This window comes from Homo sapiens, chromosome 1 (assembly GCF_000001405.40).
Source record: "Homo sapiens chromosome 1, GRCh38.p14 Primary Assembly".
Classification (NCBI taxonomy): Eukaryota; Metazoa; Chordata; class Mammalia; order Primates; family Hominidae; genus Homo; species Homo sapiens.
In genome coordinates this window covers 197,463,313-197,480,185 of record NC_000001.11, presented here as the reverse complement: position 1 = coordinate 197,480,185, position 16,873 = coordinate 197,463,313, and the positions used below count along the sequence as shown (strand labels likewise).

Sequence of the window (16,873 nt, the reverse complement as noted above, 5' to 3'; positions counted from 1 at the left end):
ATGCCTGCATGCATTCATTTATCCATGTATTTGGACATACATTCCTATGCAAAGCTCTAAGCTAGGTACTGGAATAGAGCAAATACTCAGATTAATTAAACCAATAGAATCATTTTATATCCTGTGATTTTTTTTTAGTTTGTGTGTGTGTTTTTAACTCAGCTACTTATTTTTTCAAGCATGAGCTCTTTCTTTTCCATATGAACTTCTATTAAGAAGTTGTATCTAATGAAATGCAAAAATAAATATAGCTCATAGTATACTTCACATGTAGACACTGGAGACATGCTTTTTCTTAAACTTACACTTAAAGCAATATTAGATATGGATAAAAAAGCCTGAGATTGAGTAAGACATTAGATAGGCTACAGAGCCATGATAGTTTCATGACCAGAGCATCCAATGACAGCCCACACAAATCTTGGGCACTTTGGGATTTCTCTGGTGGCAGGTACAAATTTGAGCACCATTCATTCATTATTTGTTTATTTATCCAGAAAATATTTATTGTGTTTTCACTATGGGTTAGGCCTGTTCCAGGTGAGAGATACTGGAGTCAAAAAAAAAAATAGTTCTTATCCTCATATAACCTAAATTCTAGATAGAGAAAATTGAGAACAACAACAACAAAAAAAAATACGCAGTCTCTCAGGTGGTGATAAACAGTATGGAAAAAAATAAAGCAGAGTTTAAGGAATGAGGGGAAACTATCAAAAGAGATGGAGAGGGGATGGACAGTGAGGTAAGAAGAAAATCAAGATGAAATGGTGTCCCATTGTGTGGAAAATATTTCAAGAGGAGTGACAATTGTTTCAAATGCTTAGGAGAGGTCAGGTAAGCTGAGGACTGAGGACTGGACATTGTGTTTGACCATGTGGAGGTCATGGAGTGGTGATGAGAAAAGCCAAATTAGTTTAAGTTCCAGAGAGGATGAGAGACAAGAAAAGGGAAACCAAAAATACAGAAAACTCCTCTGTAGATGTTTTGCTGAAAAGGGGTGTTGAGGAATGGGGTAGATATTGGAGTGAGATGAGGGCCACAGGAGAGAATTTTATATGATAGGAAATATGACAGCATGTTGGTGCTGATAGGGATGCCCCAGGACAATGGGTAAACTGATGATGTAGAAGAGAAGGGCACTTGCTGAAATGATGTCCTTGAGTAATTGAGATGGATGGGTTCTTCTAGACCAGATTTAAAAATTCATGTCATTAGACATGTTGAGTGTATACCCAGAATATATATGCATCTATTCTTAAGTTTTATTTATATTCTACAGCAGTAGCATGTTTCATATATTTCAAAGCACATATAAAAATATAATCAGATGCTTTGTAGAAGAAAATATAAGAATAGAAACCCCAGCATTTTCTCCAAATATCCCATAGTCTTAAAACACATACTCCGTAAAGTGCATACATTTAACTTTGGAGTTCTTACCTTTAAACAATGTCACTGTTTGGCACTGATTTACCTAAAAGCAGTTGGAAGAAAAGAACTCGATTTTTCGAACTTGAGAATCTGAGTTTTCCCCGTTTTGATTTCTATCTAGGAAGCGTTTTGCCTTAACCAACCCTTTACAAAGAGTAATAATTTGAAAATGTAACCAACTTGAAATGATTTAGGTAAAAGGTCTAATTCATAAGCAGGTTCTTCAAATGTTCCTAGAGGTTACTTTTGTCACACATAATGTCACAAAAATGCAAAAAGTACTCAGAAAGGAGAACAACTGCATTTCAATTTTTATTTGTTGCCATTGGGTCACTTTTTTGGACCATAAGTCATTCCCAGAGCTTTCTCTGAATCCATGAATGAAGGACAAAAGTATACATCCCATCGCTGGTATACAACAATAACTTTGACCACATGATAGGAGAAGTGAGAAATGTAGCCAATTTTTTCCTGTAGTTTCCATGTAAACATATGGCAGTTTACACAGAAACTACAGAAAGTACAGAAACCTAAAATGAAAACTAAAATTTGTTCCCAGGTTGAAAAGAGGAAAGAGTTTCAGTGATAGCCACTAAAGCCACAGAAGACTTTATTCTCTGGAAGATGTTTTTGCTAATTATAAGGCTGAAATTACTGGCACAGACTTTTTTTGCAATTGGCTGATATAATATAATAAAACAATGGTGTCGAGCGGAACCACTGTGAAAGTTTTTAAGGTGGTCAAAGGAATCATTCCTGTAGTTCCAGTGTAATCCCAGTTGCAGATTAACATTGTCAGGTATGTCAGAGATACCTGAAGTACAGTCATCACATTCACAGTGTGTGGATCCCCATCTCGAAGGGACACAATGCTCCTAAATCAGTCTCTCCATTGCAGGGGGTGGCATCAAGTTCCACATTTCCACTCGGGAGCCCTCCTTCTCCTGACGGCTGGGGCTGTAGGTTCCCTGAGTTGCCCTTTTGTTGGAGGTGACAACAGAAGCAACAATGGCCAGCAAGAGGATCAGTAACAAGGCGACAGTCACTGAGCCAATAGTGGTGAAAATGTCGGAGATCAAGTCATCTGCCAACTGGAAAGATTGAAATCATTGGGATGCGAATTCTATAGCAAAGGCAAATAAATATTCAGGACAATGGAACTACTCAGGAATGAAGACCAACCAGAGCAAGCTGGTACCACTCAGTACTGTAAAAAGACCAAGGTATTAAAAGAAAGTCAGATTTTCTTATTCTCAAATCATTTACAAATAATCATATATCTAGAATCTAAAGTCTACAGTCAGAAAATATGGCATGAAATACCTACTATATTTGCTCAGTCTCTTAATCTCAGTGACTGAGATGATTCATGTAGCAACAAAGGCAAAAGATGAGCCCACACTTATATTTATAAAATGATTCTAGATCTATAGCCACGTATTATTCATGATCTCTTTCCTCCCTTGCCAAAAGTTCTAATTTGGGACTGAAGAAATGGTTATTTTACAGTTTTGTTTTGTTGCTTTGGGAAAGGAAAGAAATTAAATTAGTTGGGTCTTGTGGGAAAAATTCTTGACACAGAGGAGGGACTGTGATACGCTGGTCTCGCAGGGGGTTTCCAAAGGAATCACTCTGATTCGGATTCAACATGGCAATTGAATGGTTGTAAAGGCACATGTGCTTAACGCTGAATCCAAGTATCTAGCAGCAGACAACGGCAGGTAGAGCCCTGTCAAAGGGAGCTGGATCCTGGGCTCTCAAAGTTGTTATTTTTACACAGTGGTTTGATTAATGTTAATTCCGATGTGTTTGCAAACACTTTTTAGCAAACCTGAGCTCTTATCAGTTTAACAATGGCTAACATGAAACTGTGACTGAGTTGCACAGAAATATTAAAGACAGAAAGGAGTTACTGTTTGAATTTTTAAACTGATTTTTTCAAAGACATATTTCTATCAGAGTAAATCAGTAGTAAACTCTTTTACCTTCTTATTTAGCTTTCTCTAGGACTCATCCCCACGTTACCAAACCAATCTATTACAAATGAAATCTGTGTTTAACATCCTAGAGAGTTTAAATATCTTTTCTATCCTTAGTCTCTTTTTATTGTCCCCTGTGTCTTGGTTTAAATTATTATACAATTAATATAATATTTTAACAGCTTCATAGTATTGTCTGGGATCTACTCACAATAATCCTTGCTCAAATGTGGTTCATTAGTTTGTGCATTCAATCAGCAATACTTATTGACCATTTACTATGAGCATTTACTGAGCTAGGAAATGAAAATACAAAGACAAATAAAAGTTTGGAATCTGGAGCTCAAATTCTGGAGATAGGAGAAGAGGAAGACGCGCACACACACACACACACACACACACACACACACACAAATAATCATAATACATTACAGATAGGTGTTATGACCATGTGATGAATTAATTGTGTTGAGGAGTAGGTGGAGCAAGATTGGAATGAGACATGATTGTCCTTTGAAGGATTAGTGGATGCTCAAGTACTTCAAGGAGGAAATTCCACTTTAATGAGACAATCTCGGTGGCTCATATCTGTAATCCCAGCACTTTCGGAAGCTGAGGTGGGCAGATCACCTGAGGTCAGGAGTTCGAGACCAGCCTGGCCAACATGGTGAAACCCTATCTCTACTAAATATACAAAAATTAGCAGGGCATGGTGGTGGGTGCCTGTAATCCCAACGACTTGGGAGGCTGAGGCAGAAGAATCGCTTGAACCCGAGATGCGGAGGTTGATGTAAGCTGAGATCAGGCTACTGCACTCCACCCTGGGTGATAGAGCAAAACTCTGTCTCAAAACAAAAACAAAAACAAAACATAAAACGCAAGAAGACATAAAAGTCCTTAGAATTTAGGGAAAGAGTAAGAAACCCAGTGTGACCGAATGTGTATGTTTGAATTGGGAAAGGGTGAAAAGAGTTGGTGAGAGAAAATACTATATTGACCAATACATTGACCATGAATGTGTATGTTTGAATTGGGAAAGGGTGAAAAGAGTTGGTGAGAGAAAATACTATAAAGTAGAAGGGTCTTGTTAAGAAATGTGAATGCCACACTAAACTCAGACTTTGTCCTGTAGTCAGTGAGGAGCCACTGAAGATATTTAAGCAAAAGCATGACTTGATAAGCTCTGGTAACAGGGTGGAGGATGGGAGATAGTGTAGGTGGGGAAGAAATTGGAGGCAGAGAAGTTAGTTTATCTTATTAGTCATGATAAGAGATTACCTAGGTCTAAATTTAGCAAAGGAGTGAGAATTGAAGGGAAAGAATGTTTGACAGGGATTTCTGAGGTAAATTCAGCATCACCCCATGTCAGATTGTGTGGGGTAGTGGGGAAGAGAGGAAGGATGAAGATGGCTGTTGATACCACATTAGATGAGCAGGTGGATTGGGATGTCAGTCATTGAAATTGGGCTCACATGAGGAAAAACTGGGTTCACATGAGGTTTGTGTAGGAAGAATATGAGGTCAGGCTGGGAAAAGCTGGTCTTAGGTGCCTTGGAGACATTCAAGAATATAGTACTATTAGATCATTAGAAATATGTTTACTACTCCATCTCTCCTTCATATTACTGTGAAAAATTCTGGGTTATGACAATGACTGGAGCTTTTGAAGTAAAGCATATAGAATTTCATAGAGTTCAGTAGTTTTTTAGAAAAAATAGTTTATGTCAACTAGAGGGCAAACTCTCCATCCATACTGTGTGGCCATGCTTTTGTAAATAATTATATGTTTTATCAATAAAGATAACTCTGGCCTGGGAAAGAGGAACAGAACCGCAGAGTTGGGCTTGAAAGGTCAAAAGGCTGGGACACAGAAGAGCAGATGAAATCTGACCAGAAAAACACCTTAGTACTATCCAATGATCTTTAGAAAATGCACACTCTTGTTCTTAGATGTTGATTTCATCTTAATCTGTCTGGTAAATCATGTCATCTGTTGGAGTAAATGGCGGTTCTCCTGGATGAGAGAGTTGGGAGTGCCCACACCCATGCACACAAGAGAAAAATCACTTGGTTTGTCTCTGTTTTCTAAACTTTTCCAGGCCCTTCTCTTCTCATTCAGCCTGAGATTGATTACATTGGGTAAACTGAGGCTTCCCAGATCCTCTCATCTGCTATGCTGCAACAGGAGAGGAAGAAGGACTCATGGGGGTGGGTCCCGAGTCCTTGTTAGTACCTCAATTCAGGTTGAACCAGAGGGCTGACCTGTTTCACATATTTTGGGACTCCTGAGGAACCAAGTCCTTCATCTACAGTTGCTTTGCTGTTCTTAAAAATGTGATAAAAATAAAAGAGCAAATTCAAGGCCTGGGATCCAGCCCCACCTCTGCCAGTCCTGGCTGTGTAATGAAGTGGTTAAGAGGTCAGTCTTCAGAGGCAGAGACCTGGGTTTGATTCGTGGCTCTGCCAATTACTTGTGCAAACACAGCAAGTTATTTCACCTCTTAGGAACTCATTTTCATCATTTATAAAATGGAATATTAACATCTACTTCAAAGGATGGGACCAAATAAAACACAAAGAATGTAAAATACAAAAAGCACAGCCTATAGGAAGTTCTCAAATACACAAACATATTAGTAGTCATTAGTATACCATTTATCATTTTCCCTAATTCTATTTGCTTTTAAAAGATAAACTAGAATTCCCTCAGGACGTTGCAGTATGACCAAGGGAGCCAACCTACAAACCTAATATTGCAATTCCCAGCCTCATATAAAGTTTTTGATGAAAGAGTTCCCCTAACTGTATCAAATAGGGCATGTCATTAAGCTTTAGAGTGAACTGAATGAGTAGGGTTTTGAAATCGCCTCTTCAGGGCCCTTTGCTTTTAAATTCCCATGGTTGAAAGGCTTTTTTTTTTTTGCTCCACTATTCTTCAACTGTGCTTAAAATATACGGCACTAGGATGGATCTTTTGATAATTGAAACTGCTGGGACACATGAACTGATGATGGAGGCCTCCAGGTGCAGGACGAGATTTAAGGCCAGCCCTATTTGGATTGGTTGTGCTCTAACACTGAGCTTTTGAATAACCTTTTCCTGAAAAGACATACCCCAAATTAATTATAAATATAATGTAGAATTGTTTTTTTTTTTTCTGAAAAATGACATGCTGCTATCTGCAGTCAGTTATCATATTAACATCTTTTAAAAAATGTATATTGTATGTATGATTAATTTAAACTGTGATTACTTTGAACTCCATATCTGCAGAATAAAATAAATAGATGTTTCATTTGTTCTCCTCAAAGAGAATTTATTCTGAAACATTAACTGGGTTCTGGCCTATATAGGACCCAAGCAAGGTTATTCCATGGTATTCTATGGTGAGACTGTCAAAACCTATTTTGAAACTTCCATCCTGATTATTGTATGCTGGAATGTGCTAGCACCATAGGTTAATGTGTGTTTTCCTCTTAATCCCAGAAAAGAAATTTCATCTTGTTTCTTCTGAAGGGGAACTGGAAACAGCATGCACTTGCTAAGCAGACAGAAAGGGATTTGAATCCAATTTCGATACTTGTTTAGTATACTTAGCCTACATATACTGTTTTCCCACTTCTCTCAGAAATGTCATAAGAATGAAAGAGCAAATTCAAGGCCTGAGATGCAGCCCTACCTCTGCCACTCCTGGCTGTGTAATGAAGTGGTTAAGAGCTCTGCTCATATACCATTTTCCCACAGTATATGTAGGATAAGTATAATAAATGGGGACAACAATTCCCACGTCTTAGAATTGTTCTAAGAATTACAGCATTCAGTGGATAAAGAGCTTCTCATAGGACATACGCACAGGACAAGAACTTTGATCCATGTGATTACTCTTGTTTATTACCCCAAGTGACCTTCCCCTGATTGATTTTCTTGATCCTGTTTGGATTTCAGAACTCCTACCATCCACTCAGGGCCATCCTTGTGAACAAGGAGGCGCTTCGGGTTATCACTCTCACTGTGCTGATGTGGCGCTGGTGGAAGGGTGTGCAACCTGGGCCTATCAGAATCAACTGTTACTAATTGCTTGAGAGTTAATCTAATTTGGAAAACACAAAATGAGCTGGAAATAAGAGAAATGAGACAAATTCTGTTGTCAGCATCAGGACCTATCTTTCATGATATTTAGGGCCGATGACAGCATTTGAAATAATGTGAAAACAATAAACATATCAGAAGGAGCTCTGAAAAAATATGAAACATTGCAGGATTTTTTGGAAAATGTAACCTCACATTCCCAAGTGAACAGAGGTGCAAACATGAAAGCTTTGACTTAAAGTGAGGGAATTCAAGAACTAATGCTGCAACCATCAGCCCCCAGAGGTCCTTTCTCTCATGCCTGCGTTTTATAAAACCAACAGAAGTATGTTTGCGGTTAAAAATGAAGGCAATATTTGGGGTTAAAAACTGGCTCCTGGAAAACACCACACTGGAATGAATTACTTCAAGTCTTTCCTGGAATTCAGTTGTATGTATATCAGTTACATAGAAATATGTGGAGACAGTTTAAGATGGAAAGTTAAAATGTTTGAATGTGTCAATTGATTACAGGTTACATTCCAGCTTCAATATGTGCGTTTCTGAAACTAGTTGTGTCTGTGTGTGTATTTAGTGTTACATCAAATAACCAAGTAAGACCATTATGTGCAATTAAGAGAATTAGTGATTCATGGAAAAATTATTTTAAACACATTGTGTCTTTAACATGCCAGTTGGAATATTTATCTTCCATCTACATATATAAAGTAAAATAAAGGCATCTCTCGAATGCTCATCCACTAACTTTTTTAAAAAAGGAATACAAATTTGGAGAGCAGTTCTTGTGAATTGCTATTCTGACAAGTAGATCGTCAATTTGGTGGATGGTAAAAACCTCCCACACAGACCTCAGTCCTTGAACTATATCTTATGAGTGAATTGTTAGAAGCGGCCGTTTCCATAGTAATATTGAATATGTGCCAAAACTCTGTTTTTAAAATTAATATTGCTATAGCAGCCAATTTTCAACCATAAATACACTGTCCACTTTACAGTCATAAGGGGAAAATAAGGTATTAAAAAGCCAAAAGAGAGAACTCGGGAAGTGTCCTGGGATAAGGAGGAGGCTATCCAGCCAGATGCTCCTTCCACCAAATAAAAGGCTTAGGAATGTGAAGAAAGGATGGCGATCAGAGAGCCACCAGGCACCTTTCCCTCTGAGCAGCAGGCCGACAGCAGGGAACAGGGGAGGGAGGGATCTGCACTGCATGCTGAGTATCATTTTCTCCTTGGCACTGCCCCATCTCTTCATCTGGCTGCTCTGCTTCTCCCAGAAAACAGATAAGCTCCCACTGGGTTTGCCGAGAACAGAACAATGGTGAGCTACGGCCCCCTCCAAGGGCTGTAAGACTGCAGTTAGCAGGGTTTGAAGTCTCTTGCTGGAAAAAGAAGGAATCCAATATAAAGGCTTTCTCATTAATTCTCACCATGTGATTACAATTTCTTATAACTATGCTGATTGGGGGTCATCACAATAGCTGGGGGAGGAAAAACTGAGCTGAGATGGGACCGTCCAGGGAACCGCAGCCTGGAAGACGCTTCCTGGGAACCTTCTGATATGATTTCCATACCAGAAGGAATGGTATAGCTATGATAGGAAGGAAGAGGCTAGAACAGCTACTGTGGAAATTTCCTGTGGACACATTGGAGATAAATGAGAAAAAAAAAACTGATGTAACATAAGGATATATGTTTGGAATTCTAGTTCCAGGTTAAACAATCAACCTCAACATTAACTCAAGCATGACATATTTCCTCTTGTAGACCTTTAGGGAAAGGGCCCAGTGACACTGAGATTTGACATGTGCTGTGACATTGGTCATAAATAGACAAGTTTATTTCTGCATTCTACAAACTGTGTAACCACAATGCTAGCTAGAAGTAGAGTGGTGGGCCAAACAGTCCCTGGCAGGAGCCATCATAGGCATTAGATCTGTAAAAATAAGTATCAAGAAAAAGCCCTGATAATTCACAACCTCTCTCCTACTTAGGATACCAGATTTTAGGCAGAAGCATAGATGCAGCTAGAGGTTTGAGGACATTGCTTTCATATTTTTCTCTCCATAAGCAGGTGGTATAAGTGATAGCATTGTTTTCTTTGGAGCACATGGCCTTGTGAATAAAAATTATCGCCTCATCTCATACAAGAACCAAATCCCAGCAGCTCAAACTCAGTTATATTTCATTATGCTTTGTAAATTTATTGTTGAAAGATAATGGCTAGCCATTTCTTCTGACCCTGTGTCAGTGGTTTGCCAGATGTTTTTAACACAGAAAATGCTTTAATTCTCCTAATAACTCAACTAGGTAGGTGTTACTATTTGCTGTCATCTTCTTGGGGAGACCTTCCCTGACCATCCTCTTTGATTGCAATCAGCTTTCATTCTCTCAAGCATTCAGTACCATGTGAAGTCTATAGAGTTTTTGTGTGTATCCTGCTGTAATGGAAGCCCCATTCAGGTGCAGATATTTGCCTTCCTTGTTCCCAATTGTTTCCCTGGCACCTGGAACAGTGTCTGTTCCACAAAGACATTGCAGACTGCCACTTGGCAGAAGAGAATTAAAAGTTAGAGCTTGTCTAGCAGCATGCAATGAGCTATTGACTTTATCAACACAGAGCTTCTTCCTCTTGGGATTTTTACGTAATAAAAACCTCACCATGTGTCCTGCAGAGGAACGGAAGCAGCAAGGGGAGGTGCCATCTCTGAGGTGCTGCTGGCAGGAATTGGAGTGGCAGATAAGGGATAATATGACCAAGGAGCCAACCAGACACGAGCATTATTCCTTTTTGTGAAATCAACAAACAATGTGTTTGTTTTTACCTTTTCCTGCCCCTCGTATCTAGAATGGAAACGTTATCACGTGATACAATCAGGAGCTGCTAGTGAGGATTAAAAACAAAAATAAAGGTAAAAAATAAGCAGGAGCCAGCTATCATTTGCTACATGTGAATTATTCTTTTTGTTTCCGTTAGGTGAACTACTGGACATTAGCTTGGCCTATTTTGGTCTCAGAAAAGCTGTGTGGACATTCATGCTTCTCTCCCTTTTTTTTCTTTTCTTCTCTTTATTTCATTTTAGAAAACAGTGGTTGCTAACTAAAGATTCAGAGCGTGTAACTCATTCAGTGCTATGAGCTGCAAACTCTTGTAGTTTTCAAAGCACATCCTTTTCATCTCTTCATTACTCTATGCCCAGACCCATTTGTAACCAATTCCCCTACAATTCTGTTCTAATTTCTCTCTCTGCATTCCCACAGTCACAATCCTGGCCCAATTATCCTCTCCCTAGGTAATTCATCTATTCTCTACACACTTTTATTTCCTCCAGAATCTACATCCTCCATCCAGCCCCACAGAAAAAAATGACCGTACTTACGTGACTAGGAAGTCGTGGGAACGAACTATATCAAACCTGTCCATATCAAATATAAATTGCCAATTTTGATTTTATTTATTTATTTATTTTGAGACAGGGTCTCACTCTGTCGCTCAGGCTGGAGTGCAGTGGCATGATCTTGGCTCACTGCAGACTTGACCTCCCGGGCTCAAGCTATCCGCCCACCTTGGCTTCCCAAAGTGCTAGGATTACAGGCGTGCGCCACTCCACCCAACAATTTTTAAGTTGAGGCTCTTTATTAATGAGTCCCATTTCCTCATGAGGGTCATCACCAGTTGCAGCCTAGCTAGTGCCGGGGCCGGGGGGTTCCAGCAGAGCAACTCTCTCTATCTGCCACTTTTCAAACAGGAATCACCTGTTCCTCCAAACCACTTCTCTATCCTGAAACATGCCGTTTATTCAATCATGCCTCTCCTCTTTTTAAAAGATAATTCAAACTTTCTCTGTACTTTGCAAAGCCTCTCCAGAGAAGCCCATGTGACTCCACTCACCTGTAACTCTTACACAGCAATGTCCAGGGCCAGCACATTTTTGAGAAGAGCTGTAGCTAGGCCTGCCTGGCATAACATATGCGCATGAATGTGTAGCTGTTGTTCAATGTGAGTTAAGCCAAATCTATCCCTTCCTTCAGGACTGTAAGGCATGACTATTTGTTACTCTGGAACTTCCCAATAATATAAAATGCAGTGCTTTGCCCAAGTGGCTGATCAATTATTATCGACTCACACACTTGTAACACTGATTGCCCTGTTTAACACATTACTAAGTTCTTCTCAGTCATAAGAAGAGTTCTATAGAACCCAGAAAGTTTGTTGGTGGTGAAATTCATTCATTCATTTTTTCATGCTTTCATTCACTTACTCAACAAATTATTACCGAATGCCTTCAAACTTTCAGACAGCATATTAGATCCTGGAGATATGGAAGTAAAAGGCATAACCATTATCTTTAAAATAATTCACTGTTTAGTGATAGTGCCTGGGGGTGGGGCAGCTATATAAAGCAATTACAGTTCCATATGGGTGGTGTTAGTTTAGAGGTGAACATGAAGGAAAAACAAGGAGAAAGGAAGGTGCCTCATGGGATCGCTAAGTTTCTCAAAGGAAGTTGCTGGGAGAATGAGGTAAAGAAGTATGTTTTAGGCTGAAGGAATCACCATGATCCAATTGCTTTAAGGAGAACAAAAAGCATGCCTGTGGTTCTGGGATATTTCCTGCATGCCTGGGAAACTTTACAGAAGGATAACTCCTTATGCAGAGCCACAAATGGAGAAGAACTAGAATAGGAAGTGGCAGACAGCTCATGTGCCAGGAAAGTGTTTACCAAAACTGGGCATATAACCCATCTAGATACCATGTCAAGAAACCTGATTTCCTGTCTCTCAGGAGGGCCAGAATGGAGGGAGCAATTTCATGTGTACTCACTACTGGTCCTTTCCTAGGCTGATGACTTATACCACTTATTTTCAACATAGTAGCTTCATTATTTGAGTTCCCTTTTTATGTATCTGCTGGGTCGTCTACTAACTTGCATTTTGTAGTGTAGAAAAAGATTGGAGTTTCTTCATATCCCATTTCTGCCATACTAAATAATTTTAGAAGACAAGGGATAAATATGCCAATTGATTTTATACAGAATTCCAAAAGCAAGAGAATATTCAGTGGCAAAAGAATTAAAAGGGCAGGGGACAGTTTGAGATAAAAAAAGATACTAAAAAGACATGCCAAATGATGATTAAATGCAATTGATTGTATCCTGGATTTAAAAAATCTATAAGGGACATTATTGGGACAATTAGAAAGTCTGAATATGGATAGTATATAAGATGTTAAATTTCTTGAGTGTGATACTAGCATTGTGGTTATAGAAGGAAGCCTTCTTTCTTAAGAGATACTAAAATACTTAGTGGTAAAGTGTCATGACATCTGCAATCTACTTTCTAATTACTGAGCAAAAAAAAAATACATGTATATGGACAGAGATAAAGCAAAGGTATCAAAATGTTAAAAAGTTGGTAATCTGGGTTAAAGAGTTACACGCATTAGTTGTAACTTTTTTTCAATTCTCTTTAGGTTTGCATTTTTTTCCAAGCAAAATGTTGGAAAAGTAATAATTTAACAAACAATTTTTATAAGGAAAATAGTTCCTCCAACCCCCATATTTGCAGATCTTGCTTCTTCCATTACCCCTTCCTTGGCTATACCAGGCCTTGCTTATTTCTCTCTGCTCTACACTTTTATTGCACAATAAATCTTGCTCTCATTGATGGTCTTATCTCCTCTCCCAGACACTAAGATATGGATCACATCACATGTTAGTTTCCTCACATATTTGGCCCTGACCCTGCCTGCCTGTGCCTTGCACGGTGTTGGACACACATTGGGTGTTCATGGACTTTCTTATGATCGACTGGTGTCACTGCTCTTAACCTATAAGCCGTACCTTGGCTCTCTTTTCATTCAGATTTCTTTCTTCTTTCCAACTTTCTTCAGCTAGTTAAAAGCTGCTATTAATTCATTCTCACATTACGCAGAAAAAATAATGCAGGATCCCTGACATCCCTACGGCTTATCACATATCCCTTCAGCAGAGGTAATCTAGTCTGTGTCATCATATTTATTGCCCCCAAATCAAAACCAGTTGCCAAAGTAATGAAGGTCTATTGGTTTGTGTTGACTTAATCCATGTCAGAGGAGCTTTAGGAGCATATAAGGATAATTTGACCAGCAAAAGGAAAGCCATAAAAATGATCAAAAAGCCAATAGATATGCTGAGAACACCAAGCTTATTTTACTGAGGATTTATGGCCAATTTATCAGAAAATTATTTGGTCCAAGCCTACATTCGAATAAGTCTCTCAGTAATTCAGCAAAGATTCAAACCTCTGAAAAAAAATAGCCTCCTATAATGAGATACCCTAGTAACCCCTAACTTGCAGCACATGTACTTTAATTTTCAACAGTTGTGAGACTGCAGTAAATCCAGTTTTTGAATCACTAGTCCCATTTATGCCTCAGACCTGCATTAAATTACTAGAGCCTGAACTGCCTCAGAGCAGAGCCAATGCATCGTCCCTTCAACCTGCATAAGTGTTGATTAATCAAATAGGGCTTAAATGTAGGACATACCCCAGATGGTAGCAGTGCCAACTCCTGCTGTGTCCCAGCAGAAGTGGATGCCAAACCACCAGGCTCTGCCACACTATGTCAGCTTTGCCCCAGGCCCAACTTTGGAGGTTGTGTTTTATTGACCAGACTCAAATTGGCTTCCCCTCATGTAAGTGATAAAGTGTGGCGTCAAGTCACCCATGTAAAATATATTATTTTAACTTTGACAGCTTGTCATTGAAGTCCTTGTTTATATAATCTATTGTGCCATTTACTCTATTCTTATTTTAAAAAGCAAACACAGAAATAAAAACCTTTCCTTTAGTGTTTCATTGATGAATGTCTATACCTTGCACCTTCTCTTAAATAATCTCAAAAGTAGCCATTTCTATTGTCACTGTCAGTTTACATCAAATTATCAGACTTTCAGTTTCGAACTCTGCCTAGTGGAAGATGAAAGACACACATCATGCTTTAATGGGTAGCCTTTCACTGCACAGCCTTTTCTCTTCAAAATAGTTTGAGACTTGGTATGTCTAAACAGAGATGGATCCTGTGAAGCTGAGAGGCTGGTCAGATCCCAAGTGAACATTTCTAAAATCTATGAACTCAAAGCAACTTAAAACACCAAGCAACCTGACAACCAGCAAAGATAGAAACCTTCATATTATGAGGATTTATTGAAATAGTATTTAGTTTTAGAACTAAAGGTTTGTTTCAGAAGTCAGGCTTTCATAAGCCATTTGGTAAAAGTCTATAGGTTTTAAAGTTAGCAGGATTAAAAAAAAAATAAAAACAAACCCTAAACCTTATGTATGACTTTACTAACAGTTCACCTAAATACGCAAAAGCACAACAGAAGCAAAGGCTAGGTTTTCATTTGTATTGAGGAATCTAAAGCATTTATTCTTGGAGGGGACAAAAATAAAGTCTAACAGCATTTTCCTATTAGTTTAAAAATACTGCTGAACTAAAATTTCTCCATCTCTATGTATAAATTTAGCACAGAATTTAATAACCTGCTATAAAATTAGATCATACAATAAAGCTAAAGTGGTTATTTTATGCTTTGGGATCTCTAAGTCTGTGTTATATACAGTACATAGGGTAATTATGATATTCACAATGACCACATCTTTTTTTGAAATAATAGTTTGAGACCCTTGCCCAAGGAAAGGTGGGAAGCAGAAGTGACAAGAACTCTGTTCCTTTGCTACAAAAGGCTCAAAAGACAAATTGCATGACAAGTTCTCTTCTCCTTTAGCCACTGGTTAATTTTTGGAGACTGTTTTAATAAAATGAAGATCAGGTTCTCTGTTTTCTAAGCAGCTTGGAGATCTATTTAAGAAAGAAGCTGAGATAACCTGGCTAATGTGCTTGATTATATTTTATTTCTATAATTTGCTATTCATACTCTCAAAATATAGTTTTTTTTCTGGATAATTCTTGTCTCATACTTGGTATCATACTGACATGAATTATTTACATTATTTCTGAATTTTGAAGTAATTGCTTAGAGAAAGTATTCCTCTTAGTGACTTAAATAATCTGAAACAGGGAAATTTTATTTTTTTAACTCCCAAGGAGACATAGAATTGAATGTTCAAACTATAAACTAAGCCTCTTCAATTTTGCAGTGCAGCGCAACTCTCTCTACTTTTTCCCATACCCCAAACAACACTCCCACTGCCCCTTTAAAAAAAAAAATACTTCCCTTGGGTCTATAACTTTTCTATTCAATCACCATTTAGATTGCTTGTCCTCAGGGATATGGCTGAGTTAGGAGCCTCAGGAAGAAAACCATGATTAGTCACTAGGCCTGAAAAATCCTCCCCAATCCTGTTTCCAAGGATTGATGCCAATTCTCCAAACGTGCTCAGTGCTCATGTTCTTTTCAGGGTCATTCGGCTTGTACAGCACAGATTAAACACACAGCCTCAGTATTTTCAGTGTTGTGAGGAGACGCATTTACATTCCACTGACGGCGTTGGGTGTAAAAGGAAGCCATCTGCTGTGATTTAGCAACACGAGGAGGAGCTACAACTTTGACAAGCGAGAAAGAGTTGCAACACAGCTCAACTCAGTCCAGGTCCTCTTTGTGGGGTGGACCTGAGCAGAAATCACCTCAATATTAAAAGGCATTTTTATTAAGTAGTTCTTAGAAGTTGGTCTTCTATTAAATGTTTCATTGTTCTCTTTCACTAAAATTCGTTTGCTGCTATTTGTTAGGGTTCTTTTACTAGTTTCAGGAACCCAGAGTAAATAGATTAATTCTATGACAAAGATGACAACTAGGTCTTTGATTCTTTGAGCATTCGATCCAGGTAGTTAATCTTTCCTGTATCTGGTTCATTCGCTACACTGGGATTACCTGTAAAATACGTTAGAACTAAAAGGTGGAACATAGGGATATGGAAAAAGTAACTACAAGCTGAGGATTTAATATTTTCTGGCATTTTAGATGTCATCTCTTAATTTTCACCACAATCTAATGATATAGAGATTATTGCATGTATTTAAAAGATGATTTAAGCAATTTGTCCAAAGTCACACAGCTAGTAAGCAGCTTAGAATCCAAATTATCAGGGCTTGTTTAATTACGCACAGCTGCATCCTTAGATAGAGCACTATATAAATGTAACCCCAAATCTACCCCATAATTTCAACTGTATTACCCTTAGTTGGCATATCTGCAGACTGAAAGAAGAGTAAAAATGGTTATTTTATATTTCAGGTCTCTTACTATGCACAGTGCTTATGTAACCAATCATGCTTCTCTGATTACTGATGTTTGCTTAGTGTGTGTGTGTTTTGTTTTTTTTGGACTTTGCATGTGAGAATAACTACAATAAAGTAGGCTGATGGGTGG

At 38.4% G+C, this 16,873-nt stretch overlaps 1 protein-coding gene across 13 annotated transcripts in view; it reads right to left on the bottom strand.

The window, feature by feature from the left end:
- CRB1 (crumbs cell polarity complex component 1) overlaps positions 1,731-16,873 on the bottom strand; it is a 276,952-nt gene continuing 261,809 nt past the window's right edge. For all 13 annotated transcript variants that reach the window (NR_047564.2, NR_047563.2, NM_001257965.2 and 10 more), the window contains one exon: positions 1,731-2,522. Coding sequence is in view for 11 of the 13 variants with exons in the window: in NM_001257965.2 (NP_001244894.1) it covers positions 2,307-2,522 (216 nt within the window). In the remaining 2 variants the exon portion in view is untranslated. The remainder of the gene's footprint in view (positions 2,523-16,873) is intronic.